At 54.4% G+C, this 20,351-nt stretch overlaps 2 protein-coding genes and 1 long non-coding RNA gene across 4 annotated transcripts in view, besides 1 other annotated feature; 2 read left to right on the forward strand and 1 right to left on the reverse strand.

The window, feature by feature from the left end:
* The window catches only part of KRT86 (keratin 86), a 34,519-nt gene extending 26,917 nt beyond the window's left edge, over positions 1-7,602 (forward strand). Inside the window, exons 3-11 of one of the 2 annotated variants that reach the window (XM_005268866.5) lie at positions 254-724; positions 1,539-1,747; positions 2,550-2,610; positions 3,371-3,466; positions 3,679-3,843; positions 4,102-4,227; positions 4,499-4,719; positions 6,672-6,703; positions 6,843-7,602. In XM_005268866.5, coding sequence (XP_005268923.1) covers positions 254-724; positions 1,539-1,747; positions 2,550-2,610; positions 3,371-3,466; positions 3,679-3,843; positions 4,102-4,227; positions 4,499-4,719; positions 6,672-6,703; positions 6,843-7,024 — 1,563 coding nt within the window. In that variant the 3' untranslated portion in view covers positions 7,025-7,602. The remainder of the gene's footprint in view (positions 1-253; positions 725-1,538; positions 1,748-2,549; positions 2,611-3,370; positions 3,467-3,678; positions 3,844-4,101; positions 4,228-4,498; positions 4,720-6,671; positions 6,704-6,842) is intronic. The other variant, NM_001320198.2, reaches the window with a different exon arrangement.
* Positions 3,071-3,571: an enhancer, noted in NCBI's record as "H3K4me1 hESC enhancer chr12:52698416-52698916 (GRCh37/hg19 assembly coordinates)". NCBI's record gives its function as "activates a minimal SCP1, AML or CMV promoter by ChIP-STARR-seq in primed H9 embryonic stem cells {active_cell/tissue: H9 hESC(primed)}" and the evidence as "EXISTENCE:reporter gene assay evidence [ECO:0000049][PMID:30033119]".
* On the forward strand, positions 9,549-10,418 carry LOC124902935 (uncharacterized). Its single transcript, XR_007063313.1, has 2 exons — positions 9,549-10,071; positions 10,334-10,418. It is a non-coding gene; the product is annotated as an uncharacterized LOC124902935 (long non-coding RNA).
* KRT83 (keratin 83) lies at positions 12,740-19,837 on the reverse strand. Its single transcript, NM_002282.3, has 9 exons — positions 19,391-19,837; positions 17,595-17,803; positions 16,349-16,409; positions 16,120-16,215; positions 15,298-15,462; positions 14,907-15,032; positions 14,332-14,552; positions 13,751-13,782; positions 12,740-13,257 (listed from the first exon to the last, which is right to left on the reverse strand). The coding sequence occupies exons 1-9, from the start codon at positions 19,772-19,774 to the stop codon at positions 13,070-13,072; spliced, it is 1,482 nt and encodes a 493-aa protein (NP_002273.3). The 5' UTR covers positions 19,775-19,837; the 3' UTR covers positions 12,740-13,069.

A 20,351-nucleotide genomic window follows, 5' to 3' on the forward strand; every position in this document is an offset into this window, starting at 1 on the left:
CACTGCCCACTCCTTCGTCCAACGTCAGTTTCCTCAACTGTGTATTGGGAGGTTGAGGTGGGTGTGCGGGACGTGAGTTGGTCCTTTGAAGAAGAAAACTGCAGTTTAGGGCAAGAGATCATAACATCTGGCTGCTTCTGGGCACCAATTAAGTACATTAAGTGGGGAGCGACAGCAGCTAAACAACCCAAGCCCATAAAGCCTTCTAATTGCTCCGACCCACGTGGTCACAGTCTCCCCACTTATATAAAAGGCCTACAGAGGTGCAAGTAGTGAACGCCTGACGCCCCGACCACTGTGCTCTCCATTCGGACGTCTCCATCCTCAGAACCTCCTCTCTTCCCCAAAAAGCACCATGACTTGTGGATCTTACTGTGGTGGCCGCGCCTTCAGCTGCATCTCGGCCTGCGGGCCCCGGCCCGGCCGCTGCTGCATCACCGCCGCCCCCTACCGTGGCATCTCCTGCTACCGCGGCCTCACCGGGGGCTTCGGCAGCCACAGCGTGTGCGGAGGCTTTCGGGCCGGCTCCTGCGGACGCAGCTTCGGCTACCGCTCCGGGGGCGTGTGCGGGCCCAGTCCCCCATGCATCACCACCGTGTCGGTCAACGAGAGCCTCCTCACGCCCCTCAACCTGGAGATCGACCCCAACGCGCAGTGCGTGAAGCAGGAGGAGAAGGAGCAGATCAAGTCCCTCAACAGCAGGTTCGCGGCCTTCATCGACAAGGTGGGTGTCCTGGATCACACCCTTCCTGAACCCCCACCACCTACACAGCCAGGGCCGGGCACTAAGGATGGAGTCAGAGGCACAAAGACCTCTGCCTGCCTGAGATCCCAGTCTGATGGGCGAGGCACACAGACACACAGACAGACAGACACATGCACAGACACACACACACAGGCACTCAAGATGCAGACTCAGCTGACAGTTCAGATAGAGGGAGCTTGTGAAGGAAAAGTGTGGCCAGGCTGCTCTGGGGCACAAGCTAGACATCAGGGAGTTGGGGGAGGGGGGCATGTGACCACTGCTGCTGAACTCAGAGGGGTTTGGGCAGCCCCAGGGTGAGAGAGTAGGGTGCACTGACTTCCAGATGACACAGGGGAAGGGCTGGGACAGCTGAGCTCCCTTCCAGATGGCCTGTGACACCCTCTTCCTGGCACCATCCCCAGAAACCTCATCTGTGATCTGAACCTGAGTACTCTGCCTGTGTGGGTTGCTGATCACCTAGTTTCATAGTGAGGGACTGAGCCTCTACTTCTGTTCATCTGCTTGGGTGGGGGGTGGGGGGGGGGTCACTCAACTCCCCAGGGAGCAGGCACTGACACCACCCAGCCCTTGCTCCACTCCTGAGTGGGAAATCTAGACACAGATCATGACCAGGAAATCCAGAAATTGTCTGTCTCCCACTGCCCACCTCTACTCAATCTCAGATAAGCTCCAGATTTGGGGGTTCCCATTAAAGCACCTCCCCTGCGAGCCCCCAGAGCTGGCTTTGGGGCACCAGACACCATCTGCCCCACCTTCCCACACCGAATGGCAGGTGCGCTTCCTGGAGCAGCAGAACAAACTGCTGGAGACAAAGCTGCAGTTCTACCAGAACCGCGAGTGTTGCCAGAGCAACCTGGAGCCCCTGTTTGAGGGCTACATCGAGACTCTGCGGCGGGAGGCCGAGTGCGTGGAGGCCGACAGCGGGAGGCTGGCCTCAGAGCTTAACCACGTGCAGGAGGTGCTGGAGGGCTACAAGAAGAAGTGAGTGCGGGCAAGAGGGATGCTGGGCACAGGAATGGGGTTTAGGTTAAATACACTGGATTAGACAATAAGAACTCCCAGGTAGGGTGAGTGGCCATGACCACTAGATTGACCGAGGGTGGCGGGGTCTTTTCCTTTGTGGAATCTTTGCCCAGACACCTGTGTAAGAGGAGGGCTGTGACTCCCATGACCTGTCTCTGTCCCACTTCAGCCTTCTCTCCCTGAACCACATCACCCAGCAGCTCTCCCCTGCGCTGGGTGGGGAGGAAGCCTCTGCAGGGTCCAGGCCTTCTCTCCTGACCCTCAGCCCCTATACTTGTAGCACCTGTCAGATGTGAGCCCAGGGTCTCTCATGAGTGACAGGTCTTGGGCTCTGGGTGTCGCACTGCCTTAGGTTCTAAGTCCTGAGGGTCTGCGGGTCCAGGAGGCCCCATACCTGAGCTGGGATTGATACCAGTGAGGGGAGGCTAGGGCTACAGGCCCTGAGAGTCCACGCTGTCCACTCCCAGGATGGGGCTGGGGGCTGAGTCCTATTTGCCTCCTGGGGGACCTCAGAGCCCCTTTGGGAACAGGACTGGGAGGTCCCAGATGAGCACTCTCCATCCCCAGTTCAAAGTGGATAGAGAATCCCAGACACATCCCACATCCAACTAGAAAGCACTAAGCTAGGCTGCCAGGCCGGGGCTGTGTGGAGGTGTTTCTAGTACTGTCCCCATGGCTGTGATGAAGTGTGATGTGATGGTGGCTCTGCAGAGACCTGCCCTGCCCTGACCTCCCCTCTCTTCCCTCTGCTCTGTCTCAGGTATGAGGAGGAGGTTTCTCTGAGAGCAACAGCTGAGAACGAGTTTGTGGCTCTGAAGAAGGCAAGTGACACAGGATTGAGAAGCACAGATCTGTGGGATCTCAGAATGACAGATTCTTCCTGGGGACACACAGGGGGTCTCAACCTCAGCGTGGGGCACAATGACCTTTCCACAGCAGGCTAGGACTGCCCAGATGCAGGCCTTTGTATTGAGCATCCAGGGCCTTGACAAAGGGCAATGACTTGGGAATATCTACCAGCACCTACCTTGGGCAAGGGGATGGCTGCACTGTCCTCTGTGTGTCCTGCTCTGTTCCAGAGGTTGTGGTCTATTGCTGAGGCCCCTGGAGCCATAGCAGATACAATGTCTCTGCTGAGAGACAGTGCAGTCTGTCTAGCATTTTGGGGAGTCTGACCTTGAGGCAGAGACACAATCCCAGGTTCTAAGGGGGGATGGAGAAGAACCAGGAGTAGCCCTTGGGCTTTTGGAGCACTGCTGGGGGACAGGAAAGGGTCAGGGTGTGAGAGCTGGGGGGTCAGTCTGGGCAGGCTTCCTGGAGCAGGAGAGGGGAGAAAGGAGAGATAAGAGGGTAAGGAGCAGTGAAAGGCTGGTGAGCCGTGCCCAAGACAAACAGGGTTTGTCCTCAGAATGGCAGAGGATGCCAGGTCACCCCGGGAAGGGCCAGAAGGGAAGGAGAGGGCATGGGAATGAGACACTGGGGACTCCTTTCCCCAGGCTTCATGGAATGGGTGGGAAGAGAGAGGAATCTAGAGGCTGGATCACCAGGGTCCTTGAGCTCCAACACTCCCCACCTTTCCAGGATGTGGACTGCGCCTACCTCCGCAAATCAGACCTGGAGGCCAATGTGGAGGCCCTGATCCAGGAGATCGACTTCCTGAGGCGGCTGTATGAGGAGGTGCGGGCTCAGGGGCCAGGCAGAGACCTGGCAGCCAGCAGAGAGGAGAGATGGGGGTGGGAGTGTTGGACAGGATGTGGGTAGAGGTTGCAGTCCCTGAGGCTGTGTGAGGGGGCAGGGTTGGGGACCAGAGAAAGCCTGAGGAGGTGGAGTCAGGACATGGTGGGTGGGGCTGTGTTCTCAACTAAAGTCACTGCCCTCACCTCCTGCAGGAGATCCGCGTTCTCCAGTCCCACATCTCAGACACCTCCGTGGTTGTCAAGCTGGACAACAGCCGGGACCTGAACATGGACTGCATCATTGCCGAGATCAAGGCACAGTACGATGACATTGTCACCCGTAGCCGGGCTGAGGCCGAGTCCTGGTACCGCAGCAAGGTGAGTGGCACAGGACACCTGCCTGCTAGACATGGCAGTGGGAGGGATTTGAGATTATCTATTAAATAGGCTTCCTTTTCTGGGGATGCACTAGGGATGAGAAGAGATGGCTGCCACTCTGATGTTGGGGTGGTAGGGCAGGACTGCCATGTGTGGTTGCACAGGCTGAGCACTGCACAACCTGCAAAATCATCTGTCATGCCCTGAATGGGTGGGAGGTCCCACCCTGAACCTCATGAGCATCTCTACTTCCCCCAGTGTGAGGAGATGAAGGCCACGGTGATCAGGCACGGGGAGACCCTGCGCCGCACCAAGGAGGAGATCAACGAGCTGAACCGCATGATCCAGAGGCTGACGGCTGAGGTGGAGAATGCCAAGTGCCAGGTATGGGGCATCTGTGCCCAAGGTCAGAGAGACCGAGGGTCTAACCATGGTCACACAGCCTATGTGTGCCCTATCTGGATCTCAGCATTCATTCTCCAGCCCCTCTGTCCATGTAGAGTCCCTGGTTGTGGTCTCTGTGAGTCCCAGGTGATGAAGGCAAGAGGCTCTGTTCTGGGGTGCTCCCAGCTTGGTGGGGAGCATGGTCTCATCGAGGTAAGCATCAGAGAGACCCAGGGACTCTAATCTACCTTGTTCTCTCTGTTCTCTTCAGAATTCCAAGCTGGAGGCTGCGGTGGCTCAGTCTGAGCAGCAGGGTGAGGCGGCCCTCAGCGATGCCCGCTGCAAGTTGGCCGAGCTGGAGGGTGCCCTGCAGAAGGCCAAGCAGGACATGGCCTGCCTGATCAGGGAGTACCAGGAGGTGATGAACTCCAAGCTGGGCCTGGACATCGAGATCGCCACCTACAGGCGCCTGCTGGAGGGCGAGGAGCAGAGGTGGGTCCCATAGACCTTTCCCTTTCCCAGCCCTGCCAGGGTTCTCAGTGTGCTCTGTCCTCACACTCCTGGCAGCATTTAAGTTTTGTTTCTTAACCTCCCCACCCTGCAACCAGACAGGTAATTTGTGTAAGTCCTTTAAGTATGATCTAGCCCCGTTTGAGTCTCTCATGTTCACCCAGGCACTGATCTGAGATTGCAGTCTTGTTCATCTCAGTTGAGATCCAGTAATCTGGCAGCAGGTATTCCTGTTACTGAGAAGCCTAATTAAGGCTTGGGGTCAGCTTGCCTGGGTAGTGCTTCTTCCCTTCCAGCTGTAGCTGCATGTGCTTCTCAGGATTCCTTCTCTTTTTCCTAGTCTGGCCCTGGCCCCATCTAGACCTGGGAGTTCAGATGTATCCCATAAGGACAGCTTCAGATAGATGACACTATCAACTCATGCTTTTCTATTATAGTGCCAATGAGCATCCCAAAGTGGTATTCCATTGTGGCAGGTGGGAATGAGTTAGGCAGAGAGCAAGGACTTATCCCTTGGGGCAGTTATGCCTTGCTTTCAGGATTTTTGCTTGTTTGCTTGCTTCAGAGGTGGGGGGAGTGGAGAAGACCCATTGGTCACTCAGCCTTCCTATGGCTGGAGGCCAGCGATACAGCTGGAGGGCAGCTATACAGCTCCTGCTCCCAGAAGGACAACACTCCCAGAATGTGAGCTCATTCTTTGCCCTTGGTTTCTTTCCCCTAGTTGGTCAGTTGGTCTCACTCGAAGCTCCTTTTTTTTTGTGGACAGTCAGGCCCTTGGCCCTGGGGAGAGGAGGGTGAAGGTTGGGGATGCAGAGGGAGCATCTTGTTTATTTGGGAAATGGGGAACACAGGTTTGGGACCTAGAAACTAAAGTGACCATATGACGAGATTTCCACCAAACTCGAGTTGTTCCATTGGAAAGCTCAGAGGCAGGGGTCTGTCTGGCTGGGCCTGGGGAATTTCATAAGTGAAGAATTCTGGGAGGAGGAGTTTTCCAAGTCTGAATTTGGAAGTTGGAGAAACACATGGAGATGGCATTGGAATCTGAGTGGCCCACTCCTCCATCACACGGGGCTCTTGGAGTGAACTCAGGAGCTTTGGTATGTGTTACCTAGGGAACCTGGGCATGGAATGATTTGATGGTGGCCATGGCTTCTCTTATCTGAAGCTGATTTAACCAATCCTTGGCCAGTGTGCTTTCAGGGGAACTCCATTTTCTTCCCTTAGGGGAAGCTATTGGGAGGGAAATGTGGGGTGGGTAGAAATGAGTGTCTGGGGTGACAGCCCTGCCTTGTCATTGGATATGTCCTCCTTCTGGGCCTCAGCCTTTCCATCTGCCGGATGAGAGGACTGTGGTGGGCAGTCTCTGAGCCTGTTCTAAAATCCCATTTGTTTATCTAACAGTTTTGTATTGAGCCAGGCATTGTTTTTAGGTGGTGCAGGAAGGAATAGACAAAAATGTCTACCCTCCTGATGCCTATAATCTAATGACACCAATCAGACTGGATTTCAGAAGTTAAATCTGCTCCCCTCAAATGCACCTGCAATTCAGTCAGAACCAACTTCGAGGTAGTGGCAGCTAATAGCTCTTAAGGGCTATGAGCCAGGCACTAAGCACTGGACGCTTCTTATTTGATTCAGTCCTCGCAAGAGATCTACGAAGTAGGTTTTCCTGATGAGGAAGCCTAGGCTGAGGTTGGCCCAAGCTGGGGTTGCACAGCTCAGAAGCAGTGGAGAGCGAGGCACTCACAGGCCTTCTGTCTCCAGACCCTCACGGTGACCCGAGTCTACACTGGCTCCTGGCCGAGAGCATTTCTTGCCCCTTCCCTTGGGCAAGTGCCCAGATGGAGGGCCACAGATGTCCCCCTCCACTTCAGTCACGGGGGCCCGGCGCCTTTTCCGCGGCACTGACCTCTCGCCTTCTCTCCCTGCAGGCTGTGCGAGGGCGTCGGCTCGGTGAATGTCTGTAAGTAGTGGGGTCCGTCCCCTCCTCCCGCTGGGCGGGTCTGGGAGCCTCTGGGCAAAGGGCGCGTGGGCTCGCAGCAAAGCCACTCACCCAGGTCGCGGCTGCGCCTGACGCGCGCCTCCGTCTCTTTCCCCTGCAGGCGTCAGCAGCTCCCGCGGTGGCGTTGTCTGTGGCGATCTCTGCGCCTCCACTACTGCCCCTGTTGTCTCCACCAGAGTCAGTAGCGTCCCCAGCAACAGCAACGTGGTGGTGGGCACTACTAACGCCTGCGCCCCCTCCGCCCGGGTTGGCGTCTGCGGCGGCAGCTGTAAGAGGTGCTAGGAGGCTGCCGCCTCCGCCAGCGCCTGTCGCCGTCACTCTCCACCCAGCCAGTACCTCGCGCCACCAGAACGCGCCGCCCGCGCCGGCCTCCCAATAGCCGCCGCCCGCTGCCTGCACTCTAAGCGCCCTCCCCACCGCTCCGCTCCGGGAGCCATCCCCGGTCGCAGGAGTCCGGGGAGGGCCGGGAGGCGCCATGGTCTCTCTCTGTAGCCTTTCCTGGTAGTCAATTTGTTGTCCCGAGGATTCATCTTTTTCTTCCGCCTGCCTTCTGTTTTTTTTGCTGTATACATTGGTCTTGCCTGAGCTCTTCCCCAAAGCTTGGAGGAACGGGGGAGGCCCGGGAATGTCCCTGTCTGCACGACCTGGGACTCTGCCCATGTGCTTTTGCCTGTGGAATGGAGACGCGGACCCTGGATAGTGGTTCTATGACTCTGCGAGGGACAGGCCCACGCGTGTGGGGAGAACATCTCCCTTCCGGGGCTGCCCTCAAGAGCTTCTGAAAAACTAATGACTCTGCTGCCTTCTCCTTTGTCTTTGTTTCACTCTGTGTTTCCAATAAACTCATTGTAGCGAATCAAGCCTAGTGTCTCAGAGTCTTGAAAATGCCAGGGCCTTCCTGTGATAGGGGCTCCTGCCAGAGCGCCTCAGGACCTGTTTATCCACTATTTTTCAGTAGCTAAAAATGACCACAGTAGGTGCTGCCCATCTGTACTTGAGCAGCCCAGGCCTTGGGGAAAACGAGAGAAGACTCACGGAGCCAGGGAATCTTATGGGGTCATGGGTTTCTCTAGACCAGGATTTATCAACTTCAGCACTATTGACAGTGTGAGCTGGGTCATTCTTTGTTTTAGGGCTGTCGCGTGCATTTGGTAGGATGTTTAGTAGCATCCCTGGCCTCAATCCACTAGATGCCAAGGGTCCTCCACCACCCTCTTGTGACAACTAAAAATGTCTCTAGATGTGGCCATATGTTTTCTAGGGGTTCTCAACCAAGGTGATCACCCGCCGCCCCCACCCCAGGGCCTTCCTGGAGGGGAAAGTGCATGGGGAAAAAGACGGGGTAAGAATGGAAGGAAGGTATGTGAGAGAAGCACTGTGCAGGGAGGAAGAGCCTTGGGTTGAGAGGAGAACTGGGCTTCTCATTCCGAGCCTTGATGGCCATTTGCCACATGTGTGACTTTGGGCAAATTGCTTCCATCCCCTGATCTTCAGCTGCCTTGGCTGTGGAATGGGGAGATTGGACAGTATTCCTAAGATCCTTCTAGCTCCCTATGTGAGATTGTGTTTGAAAGGGCTATGTTAATGCCCTTTGAGTTTGAGTGCCGGTTCAGCCATTTACTAGTCTGTAACTGTGGGCAAATCACTAAGCCTCACTGAGCTTTAGTTCCTTCACATTTAGAACGGGATGATGATATCTACTGGGCCATAGGGAGGTGTTTCAGATATCTATTACACACAGCAAGTCACCCACATGGAGAGGCTTAAAACAGCAATACTTTATCATGCCTCAGATTCTGTGGGTTTACTGAGGAGTTCTATTTTACATGATGTTGTTTGGAGGGCTAGAATGTCTGAAAGGCCCAATATGGCCAAAATCTCACATGGCTGGACTTGGTGCTGGCCACCAGCTGGGAGTTCAAGTGACGTGCTTGGCCAGGGTGTATCAGTCAGGGTCCAATCAGAAGACAATAATTTGAACAGAGAAAGTTTAACATAAAGCATTATTAACCATAACAGAGATTGGCCAGTAAAAAGCAAGAACTCTAAAGCCCACAGCAGCTGCAGCCATAAGAAGCAGCCCCTACCCCCAGGCCTTTTCTCCAGCATCCAGTGATAATTTCTTTGCTGGCTCTCCAGCTTTCACTAATTGTCTCCTTGAGCAAATTTAGGCTCTGCCTGATGCCTGGGCCCAAAGTCAAAGACATAGGTTTTGAGTTTTGTTTCAGTAGCATCTCTCTGCCAGGTACCAACTTGCCCTCCACTTATCTATTGCTATGTAACAAGACATCCCCAAATTTAGTGGCTTAAAACAACAATATTTTTCATAGTTGTGTGAATTGCCTAGGTGATTCTTCTGCTTCATATCATTGACTGGGGCTCTGGTACTGCTGAAAGGTCCAGGATGGCTTCACTTGTACGGTTGGCATTTGGAGCTAGCTCTGGTCAAGAGCTCAGGAGCTGATGGCCAGGGCCTCTGTTCTTCCCTACGTGCTCCAGTCCCTTTGAGGCCATCTGGGCACGGAAGCTGCAGAAGGTGCTTTCCATCAGATTCTATTGGTCAAAGCAGTCATGGAGCCAGCCCAAGATCAAGGGGAGGAAAAACAGGCTCCACTTTTGATATGAGCAGTGCCATGCACAGAGAGGGAGGAGCTGCTGGGGGCTCATCTCTGAAGATAGCTACCACAGGACGATTAAATGAGACAACACAAATAAGTTTGAGGTATAGTGTGGCATACAACAGATACTAAACAATTAGTGTTTATGACTGCTCTTGTTGTTATTACTATTACCATGACATCATAACAGTGTAGCATTCTCAGCCTCTGAATAGCAGGGGCAGAGTGGGCTGGTAGGAAATACTGGGAGCTGGAGGTTTGACATCCTAGCTTTTGTCAGCAGGAGTGTGTGGCCAAGCTCCTTCAGCTTTTGGAGCCTCGGGTAGTTTACCCACTTAAAGGCAGGTGATAGCAGCAGCCCACTGAGTGAATGAGAGCTTCAGCTGGTGTGCAGAGAAGGGTGGATGTCACAGCACTGTTAGTCTGGGTACTGGCACTACCACACTGGCACTATCTCAGGCTTGTCAGCACAGAGGGATCCACCATCCAGCTAGCTCACATTCCTCAGCAGCCAGCAGGAAGCTTCCGGAGAAGAGGCAGCTGGCTCTCTGTGAAGCATGGAAGGCCTCATGAATTGGCCCATAGCATCTACCTCTGCAAGAGGATTGGAAAAGTGCCTGGAAGGAAGGAGGAATGAGAAATGCTCTTGGGTGAAGAAAGCTTTCATGGAATGGAGTTGGAGCTGGGGTAGGAGGGGCTACGGAGGAGGAGGTAGGAACGAAGTGCTCATTTTCAGCTTTTAGAGGCATTGGAGAGCAGCCCCCACTCTCCTTGGTGGCCTTCCTGACGCATCAGAGCTCCTGGATGGCCCCATGCTCCTTTTCCAGCTCCATCTTTATCTCTCACATACTGTTCCCATGTCTGGAGCACATCTCTCATCCTGGCTAACTCCTTACTTCAGTTCACTTCTTGCTTTCAAATGTAAGCTTTGCAGGGACAAGCATCTTTAACTATTTTTTTTTTTCACTTATAGGAACCCAAGCTTGTGTAACAGTACCTGCTACACAGCAGGTGCTCAATAATGATTTGTTGTTGGAATAAATGAGCTCCTGGTTTTCCTTTAGGTCTCAGCTTCAATGTTACCTCCCTTAGGAAGTAATCAGCTTTGCCTGCTTAACAATCCTCCAGCTGTGCTTCTCTTTTTCTCCCAGCACCAAGGCTTAGGGCTCTTCATAGCCACCCCCTCCTTGGTGTAGAGGTGGTAGTGGTGGTGGAGAAGATGGGGCTCAGGGACTCAGGACCAGAGGCTCCAACAATCTTGTCTAGCCCCTTGAGCTGGTTGGGTGGAAGGAAGATGCATCACTGCCAGAGGCATGGAGTCTCTGGGTTCCCCCAGGTGGCACGTCCATGACCTCCCGAGGCTGGCAGTCCTTACAGTATCCTCCTTAACCCCTGAGAAGGGAGTGTTAAACCCCAGAGGAGAAATCGGAGCCCCTTCCCAAGACGGGCAGAACTGAAAAGGCCCCTGCAGAGCCTCTGGTCCAACCCCTCACTTGACAGGTGTTCAGGACATCTTGAGCCAGAGTAGGGGAGAAAGGTGGGGGGCAATGGGGAATAGGGAGCAGTGAGAGGCACTGAGCTATCAGTCAGAGCTAGACATACAGGGGATGTACATTGTGTACATTGTGTTTAAGTCTGGACTTTGTCCCGGGGACAGTGGTGACCCACTGAAAGCTCAGCCTTGTGTATGATGAAGGTCTCTGGCTGCTGTGAGGTGGGGCATGGAAGGGAGAAGAGCAGGACTCCAGGCAAAATGGTGATGGCTGGGTGTGCTGGCAGCAGTAAGGAGAGAGGAAAGAGGGGGATGGAGAGCTATTTAGGAGGCAGAAAAAGAAGTCCTTGGGTTTAGTGAATATTGAGGGCGCAGGCATGGATAAATCATAGGTTCTGGTTTGGGCAACTGTGTTGATGATCTTGGCAGGAGAGACTGGAGGAGACTCCGGTTGAGAGGGTGGGAAGCAATGAGTTAAGCTGGAAGGTATGCTGAGTTCGAAGCATCTCTAAAACTGACAAGTGGAGGTGTCTTGTAGGAACTGGAGCTGTTGGGTCTAAGCCGAGGAGTGAGGGTAGGAGGAGAATCATCAGGGCTCTGAAGCCCAGGTGGGGGATTTTAACCAGGGAGGACATTAACTTTGGGTGGTAGCTGAAGGCGAGAGGCTGATATGACTGCCTGGGGAGAGTGCAGAGAGGTGGGAAAAGGCCCTGGGGTAGTTGGATGCTTGAGGCAAGGTGCAGGGTGAGGTATGAGCCAGTGAGCAGAACTGCCTGGGAAGAGCTGAGAGCCTGGCCTGGGAGACAAGGAGGTGAAAGGCCCGAGACTCAGGAATTGGGAGGTGGGAGGGAGAGAAGGCACTGGGGAGCCCCTGGACTTGGGTGGAGGCTAAAGGGTCCTGGGGAGCCTGGAGATTCCAGGGGAAGCAAAGGAAGGGGGTGAGTCCTCCAAGGACATCCTGGTGAGATGGGTGGGAAAGGCCAGGGGCTGGGTGAAGGGGAGGAATGAAGAGGGCCAGCAAGGAAGGCAGTGCGCTACCCTGGAGGTGGGCTGCAGCCTTGCAAGGACTGTTCCAGGCCTGATTCCTCGAGGGTGGGGTTAGGGACTTCTCAAAGTCTTCCAGAGCTCTCCAGAGCTTTCCAAGAGGAGGACAGGAGAGATTGGGCCAAGCAGCGGGCAGAGGAGCCTCTTAGCCTTGGGGTTGAAGCTGTGAGGTATCTCGGATGAGGGCAGTGAGTGGGGCAGTTGAGGGAGTGAGTAGAAGGTGTCCTCATGTCAGCTGTGGAGAAGGCTGCCAGGTACTCAGGAGGTGTATGCATGGGGGAAGGGTGGGCCAGGGGCAGGTGCCAAGGCTCTCATCTTTCCCTGTTTGGTGGGCAGCATGAGGAGGATGTGGCAATGGGGTGGGGTCCAGACTGACACAGGGCAGCCCCCAAGGGTGGCTGCTGGCACTTTTGGTGGTTGTTGCTGTGGTACCTACGTGGAAGGATGGCTGGGGGGCAGAGTGAAGATATGCTAGGAAGAGAAAGTGGGGACCGTGTATGCAAGAAGGGGGCAAAACTCAAACACACACACAAGCACGCATACACGTGCACACATATAAACATGCGCATGCACATGCACTGCCTTCCGGCTGACTTCTGGCCTCCTCGGTCCCCTTCAGAGCCATCCAGACTGACAGGTGTGACAGGTAGAAGGTGCTGTGAGCACAGTCAGCACTGCCTGGCCAGGAGATGACAGAACCATCTGGGGACAAGGCCCTACGGGTGTCCAGGCGGAGAACAGGCCAGAACGACTCTAGTCTTCAGGCCATATCATCAGGCTGGGGTGCTCACCACTTGGTGGGTGTGGGGAACCCCAAGAAAGCAAGACATTGCAGCACACAAAGCAGGTCCCCAAGTTTATTGGAAAAGGGGAGACAAGAGGCCAGAGAGGCAGGGGGAACAGTCTCACAGTGCTTCTTCCAGGGAAGCAAGGCCCTTCTCCCCGGGAGGGGCTGAAGGCTGAGACAGGGGAAGGAATGGGTCTATTCCCCAGCCACAGGCCCCTTTCCAGTGGGATGAAAGGTGGGGAGGAGCCGCTGGTGGGAATGAGCCGATGGTGTATTCTCAGAACACAAGGGGAAAAGCCAGCGATGTGCTGCTGTTTTCAGCTGGTGGTGGGGCAGTGGCACGTCTGGCAGGCAGAAGGGGCTCCCCTGGCTCTCTTTTGGGCCACTTAATGCCTCCCCTGGCCGCAGGAGCCCCCTCCACAGGTGGTGTTCAGCTGGCCACAGGGCTTGCACAAACCAGTGCTCACCACCAGGTTCCCGTTGCAGGGGGCACTGCAGACGCTGCCCGTCACCGGCCGGGAGCCCGACACGCAGAGATCCCCGCACACAACCCCACCCCGGGAGCTGCTGACACCTGTGGGAACAAGGGCAGGGTCAAGAGACCCCTGCTGATGGCCATCCCATCCAGCCACCTTCCTTTGGTCTGTCTGATGTGTCGACCATCCAGGGAAGGATGCAAAGAGCCTCCAGTTCTATTCTGAAGGAGGGAACCCTAGCCTGGGAGCCAGCAGACCGGGGTTCTGGTCCTGGTTCTGCTTTGTGACTTTGGGAGTCCTTTCCTCTGTCTGGGCCTCAGCTTTCTCACCTATATAAGGTGAAGGTTATGAATGACATCTGAGGTCCCTTCTTGCAATGACATCTTATTATTTTTTCCCCTCCCCAACACATTCAGGCTGTGAGGTTCTTCCTGCGAGCTAACCTCAGTCTGTCTTGCTGCATGACCAACCTATCCTCTTTACTGGGGGAATTATTGGAAACACTCCTCCCAAAGTCTCTGCATATATTCATAGTCAAGAAGTCCTTTGTCCCCAGTCTACATTTTCCTTTTCAGGGCTCAAGATACTTACAGACATTCACAGCTTCAACACCTTCACACAGCCTGAGTGGGGAAAAAGTAAGGAAGGGGAAGATAAAAGAAGTCAGAATGAGGTCATCGAATTTCCGCTAGGTGCTGAAATGGGTCATCTCAGGGCTATTTCTGACCTACATTTATTCCCTTGTGCAGCTTAGAAAAAGTTGCCTTTCTGGCAGTTGAAGCAACGTCAGGTCACACTATTTAGCAAGTAGAGTATGGTTGGATTTCAATTCTTATTTGTCTCTCAGCTGTTATTTGCCTTTGTGCAGTGAACAACCTGAACAACCATATCTGTCAGGTCTAGATAGGCTCAACTTTCAGAAGGAGAAGGCCCTCTTGGGAAGACGAGGTCAGGGGTGGAGTTTGGCCAGCAACCCTGCCCTAGAATAGGTGATGTCCAAGAAACCAGGCAGGGTATGGATCTTGGAAGAGTTGAGAATGAGACAACTTGAAGATATGGATCTGGGATCCATAGAGGCAAGAATGTCACCTGGGGACTGAGACTGAGATAGGGAAAAATCAAAGGTGGGCAGGTCTATGCAAGTGGAGTGCTTAGGGCTGGGTTGGACCCACCTCTGCTCCTCGCCCTCCAGCAGGCGCCTGTAGGTGGCGATCTCGATATCCAGGCCTAGCTTGGAGTTCATCACCTCCTGGTACTCCCTGATCAGGCAGGCCATGTCTTGCTTGGCCTTCTGCAGGGCGCCCTCCAGCTCGGCCAGCTTGCAGCGGGCATCACTGAGGGCCGCCTCACCCTGCTGCTCAGACTGGGCCACCGCAGCTTCCAGCTTGGAGTTCTGGGAGGTAGGGGGAATATGGAGAGGATAAAGTGAAGTTTAGTTTCTTGAAATCCCAGCCAGTCTCCAATAGGATCATTCAACTTCTATCTTAAAATATTATCTCTCCAATCAGCTTCCTAACCTTCCTTCCCTCCTCACTTACACTACACACACACACACACACACACACCACACAGATACACACACACACCTTGGCCAAGACAATCAGAAATATTTCAGTAGATTTCTCATCTTACTCTGTCACCCATGAGACTGCACTGGGAAGACTTTTCCAGAATCTAACTCAAATCCCTCTGCCGAGGGCTAACCCCAGTCTCTTCCTACACTGAGGGGTGGGCCGGGCTCTGGTACCTGGCACTTGGCATTCTCCACCTCGGCTGTCAGCCTCTGGATCATGCGGTTCAGCTCGTTGATCTCCTCCTTGGTGCGGCGCAGGGTCTCCCCGTGCCTGATCACTGTGGCCTTCATCTCCTCACACTGCAGGAAGCAGAGATGTTCATGAGGCTCAGGATGAGACATCCCATTCATTCAGGACAGCTCAGATGATTGCACAGATTGTGCAGTGCTCGGCCTGTGCAACCACACGTGGCAGTCCTGCCCTGCCACCCCAACATGAGAGCTATTGGTTTTTCTCTTACCATCCTTAGGGATCAGAATCCCTAGACAAAGAAGCCTTTTCTACTAGATACCTCACATCCCTCCCACTGCCATGTCTAGCAGGCAGGTGTCCTGTGCCGCTCACCTTGCTGCGATACCAGGACTCGGCCTCAGCCCGGCTACGGGTGGCAATGTCATCATACTGTGCCTTGATCTCGGCAACGATGCAGTCCATGTTCAGGTCCCGGCTGTTGTCCAGCTTGACAACCACGGAGGTGTCTGAGATGTGGGATTGGAGAATGCGGATCTCCTGCAGGAGGTGGGGAAAGGAAGGACAACTCACTTATCTGGGCTTCTCCTAATCCCTGGATGCCTATCATCCTTTTGGCTCATCGGGAGTGAACTTCTCATGTTTAGAGAAACAAACCTGATGAAATCACATAACTTTCTGCACAAATAGGAAATCCCTTTAGAGGAAAACACAACCACTTCTCAACTGCTTGCTTTTGGAATTATTCAGGCCCATGTGCAGCCAGCATGGTCCAGATGCTTTCCAGGGGCTCAGACCCTGTATGGGGGGCCTCTTTCCATTCTCCTAGACCAACCCCATGTAGGAAGGCTATTGCTGCCAGAGAAAGCCCTGGGCCAGAGCAATGGGTTCAATTCTGTTTGATGCTGTGTGGGGTCTATGCTGCAGTCCACTGGCTCAGGGGAAGGATGCAGGGCAGGTTCCCAAGGCACAGGTGTCTGGGGTGCTCACTCTCCTGCCCCTTACTAAATTTGTTCCTTTTTGGCTTTCCATCCGTTTGCCTCCCTGTTCCTTCCCTCTCCTTGCTCCCTGCCAACCCTCCAGCCGTGAGCCTGGGTTCATATGTCAGCAGGCCTGGTTCATGCCTGTGGGTGTCTGGGCAGAGGGTCAGGGATCCCATGGGGGGATCTGTGCCCACCATGGTTGAGAGCCCCTCACCTCCTCGTACAGCCGCCTCAGGAAGTCAATCTCCTGGATCAGGGCCTCCACGTTGGCCTCCAGGTCTGACTTGCGGAGGTAGGCGCAGTCCACATCCTGGGTGGGGTAGAAGGGGCTGTGAGGCCGGCTTTCCTCAGAGGGCTCTGAGGACCTGGCTGCCATGTGGCAGGACAAAGAGGATGGGTGGCGGGACTCAGGGCGGGCTCAGGGCCAGCTGGGCTTCACTCACCTTCTTTAGAGCCACAAACTCGTTCTCTGCTGTGGCTCGAAGTGCTACTTCTTCTTCATACCTGAGGTGAGCAGGGAGAACAGGACCTTGTCTGAACAGCTCTTGATCTTGGCCATGAGCATATATGCAAAGGAGTCTCTTTCCTAGACCTCCCCCTGCTTGTCTCCTGCCCCCAAGTGAAATGGGTGGGGCTCTGCAGGAACCAGGCTGCTGGCCTGGGTACTACTGGGATGCACTGGAGAAATGAAGTGCCTACTCCCCTGTTTTTTTTTGTTTTTGTTTTTGAGATGGAGTCTCGCTCTGTCGCCCAGGTTGGAGCACAGTGGCGCGGTCTCGGCTCACTGCAAGCTCCGCCTCCCAGGTTCATGCCATTCTCCCCTCTCAGCCTCCCGAGTAGCTGGGACTACAGGTGCCCACCACCACGCCTGGCTAATTCACTCCCCTGTTTTGGTGGAGGTTGGGAGAGCAGGATCTGGAAGCTGAGTGTGTGAATGTGTGTGGTTGGGGAGTGGGAGGTGCTGTTTTTCTCGCCTAGGTCTCCATCTTTTCTTCCTTCGAGCCCTCCCCTGCCCCCACTCAGCTGCAGGTGGTGGGATCCTCGCTCTGTCTCTCCCCTCCTGGCCTGAGCTGTGGGAGGCAGCTCAGAGACAGGGAGGGAGGGGTATGCTGGGCCTGGGGAGTCCATGGAGAGAATGTTACTGAAGGAAGCTGGCCACCCCTCAAAAGCAGATTCCTTCTGAGGATCCAGTGCGTATTCTTCATACCATATATCACACTTTGTAGCTGAAGGGCTAGATCTGTGGCTCTGTCATGACTGCCTTCCAGCAGACTGCAGGCTCCACAAGAACCCGCACTGTGTGGCTTGCGTGGCCCTGTGTCACTATCACCAGCACAGCGTGCTGCATGTGGTAGGTGATCAGATAGTGTTAGCTGAGTGAGAGAGCAAACTTAGGAAGACACATGTCCAGGACTTTGAGATCTGGTCTCAAAGGGACCCAGGAATACAAGTTTTTGTGAAAAATGGATGGAGAAAGGGAGAGAGCATTGTTTCCCTGATCTGCTGGTGGAAAGACAAGCTGAGCCTCCATCCCCCACACCCAAGGGACCCCTGTGTCTCAAACAGGGGGTACAGGTTCTTCTCCACTCTCAGGCAGAGATGCCAGCTGCAGACTGGATACTCCTCCGGGCTCAGGGAGCTGCCACCATGCTATTTCCTGTGCCCAGAACCCCTCCTGCCCACACTCACTTCTTCTTGTAGCCCTCCAGCACCTCCTGCACGTGGTTGAGCTCTGAGGCCAGCCTCCCACTGTCAGCCTCCACGCACTCGGCCTCCCGCCGCAGAGTCTCGATGTAGCCAGCAAACAGGGGCTCCAGGTTACTCTGGCAGCACTCGCGGTTTTGGTAGAACTGCAGCTTTGTCTCCAGCAGCTTGTTCTGCTGCTCCAGGAAGCGCACCTGCCACCCAGAGGCAGAGCCTAAGAACCTCTTCTTGCAGCATCAGAGGACAAAGAGGGGTTCCCAGCACGAGGGCCTGAAAGCCCCCAACTCTCTGACCCAGAGTCTTCCCTGGAAGGCGTTATGTCATCTCTCTCAAAAATGCCACCAGGGCTTAACCAGTTCACCACCTGGAAGTTCTTCCTGGGAGTTAATCTCTTCTAAGTCAGTTTACCTGGTGTCATGGAAAATGCTTGAAGAGTCCAGATTCTGCTGCCACTTGTTAACATTGTGCCCTTGGATAAAGCACTCACCTCCTCTGTAGAGTGGCGAGGTTAAAGCTCACCTTACTATGAGGATTAAAAGAACCCTTTAACAGAAAGGCACCCCACACTGAACAGCTACTGCTGTTCAATCACACCAAGCCAGGTGGACCTTTTTAGAAAGGCAAACTGTAAAAGTTGAAAAATAAAGCATGTGCCAATTATTCAAACCCTACAACAACAATGCAATTAGAATAATAGTCACCTGCAATATGAGAGTAGGAATGTCCTGTGCTCCAACCCCCTTATTTTACTGATGAGGCCAAGGAGGTTCCCTGACTGCCTGAGAGCTCACAGTGGCAGAGAAGAGCTCAAACTCCGATCTTCTGCGCTGCAGGGGGTGTCTTCTCTCCCTTTGACAATTATAGGAACATCCCTCTCCCAGCGATGAGGTTGGCCCACTACTCCACTCAGCTTCTTTTGTCTAATAACTTGGCCACACCCTTGGTAGGTCCTATCTTATGCTATCCTTGGTCTCTCATGCTATTAGAAATTCCACATTTTTTTTTCCCGATCCTTTCTGGTGGGCATCTCTCTAGTGTGACTCCTCTCTTGAGGTTTTGGCTCTGGAGGGCTCTTTCCAACCCCAGAACATGTTCCTAGTCAGAGCCTTTTCTCCCAGTCTCTCACATCACTGCCACATGGTGGTTGCCTGGATTCAGTGGAGAAGGTGGCTGCAAACTCTAGTTGGACACTGACTACACAGATGGTTTCAACCAAACCCAGACTGTGCACTGCCTGCCTCCCCATAAAGCCTGTGAGGATGGGGACCATGACTCTTGCTCACCCCTGGATCCTGAGCCCCAGGAACAGTGGCTTGGACAAAATACTCTAGACCCTGCTCAGTGGCCAAATCACTGTGTGGTATAGAAAGAGTTCTGTGCCATCCACGAGACCCACTTCCAGACAGTTTTCCAGCACCACACTTATTAGCCCTGCCTTGATGGAGACAGCATCTCCTTGGCATTTAAGCAGTTATTTGGCTTCAAATGCCCTGAGCGCCCACACAGTGGTCCTTTGCTCACTAGGTGATATTATCACTCAGTGTGGAAGGCTCTGCCCCTCGTTCTGCTTTTGTGTTTTCAGTTAATCTCCCCCATCAGTCTGGTAGCTCCCGGTCCCATTTTTGTCTTTCTGTCTGTGTCCTAGAAGTATGACTACCTTTCCCTTTGGCCTGGGAACTTCTGTGGGCAAGTTCTTGCCTTTGACTTCCCTGTCAGTGCCCAGCCTGAGTTCTGAACATGAGTAGGGGTTCAGGAAGGGTGTGATCCAGGACGACACCCACCTTGTCGATGAAGGCCGCGAATCTGCTGTTGAGGGACTTGATCTGCTCCTTCTCCTCCTGCTTCACGCACTGCGCGTTGGGGTCTATCTCCAGGTTGAGGGGCGTGAGGAGGCTCTCGTTGACCGACACGGTGGTGATGCATGGGGGGCTGGGTCCGCACACGCCCCCGGAGCGGTAGCCGAAGCTGCGTCCGCAGGAGCCGGCGCGGAAGCCCCCGCACACGCTGTGGCTGCCAAAGCCCCCGGTGAGGCCGCGGTAGCAGGAGATGCCGCGGTAGGGGGCGGCGGTGATGCAGCAGCGGCTTGGCCGGGGCCCGCAGGCAGAGACACAGCTGAAGTTTCCAGGGCGGAACCCACAGCCTATGGAGTTGAAGCCACAGGTCATGACGGAGGTTAGGAGGTGTCTGAACAGTGGAGTAGATGGCAGAGGATGGAACCAAGGGCCTGTGCTCCCTGGCTGATGGCAGGCCCTTTTATGTGCCAGGGGCAGCTGGTGTTAAAAGAGGGAGCAAAGAGACAATAGCTGAATTTTATTGGCTTGGCATCACCCTGGCCTCTTAAGCTAGAACCCTGCTTGCCTCTTCAGTGTGGCTGCATCAACAATCCCTGGCCACGGGCCCTGTTTCATCTTCAAAGCCCTTTATAAGCTTCCTCCTTGCTCCTGCCCCTCCCACTGGCACTGCTGTGGAGCGGGGAGAGGGGTTCCTGAAAGCATTAGTTGCATTCTGCGGTCCAAGCGAGGGGAATGGGTGCAGTGACCTGGGGTAAAGCCTGCTCTCTGAACCCTGTTCTGAAAGGGGCAGAGCTAGGCTATGGGCCCTGGACCCATGGCCAAGCCCTGGGGTGGAGTGGCTGGCCTGTCCCAAGGAGGGGGCTGCCTCTGAGACAACCTCTTGCTGTAGGCTTTCCTGTCTTTTTCTCAAAGGCGGGTTCCTTTCCTCATTGTCAAGATTGGCCGCTCC

Source organism: Homo sapiens, chromosome 12 (assembly GCF_000001405.40).
Source record: "Homo sapiens chromosome 12, GRCh38.p14 Primary Assembly".
Lineage (NCBI taxonomy): Eukaryota > Metazoa > Chordata > Mammalia > Primates > Hominidae > Homo > Homo sapiens.

What these genes read in the sequence shown, in the direction of transcription:
- KRT83 (NM_002282.3), bottom strand. Translation starts at nt 19,774, where the DNA reads ATGACCTGTGGCTTCAACTCCATAGGCTGTGGGTTCCGCCCTGGAAAC. An exon ending in TGGAGAATGCCAAGTGCCAG is followed by an intron (nt 14,553 to 14,906) that starts GTACCAGAGCCC and finishes CCTACCTCCCAG; the next exon opens with AACTCCAAGCTGGAAGCTGC. An exon ending in TGTTGAAGCTGTGAATGTCT is followed by an intron (nt 13,258 to 13,750) that starts GTAAGTATCTTG and finishes TTGTTCCCACAG; the next exon opens with GTGTCAGCAGCTCCCGGGGT.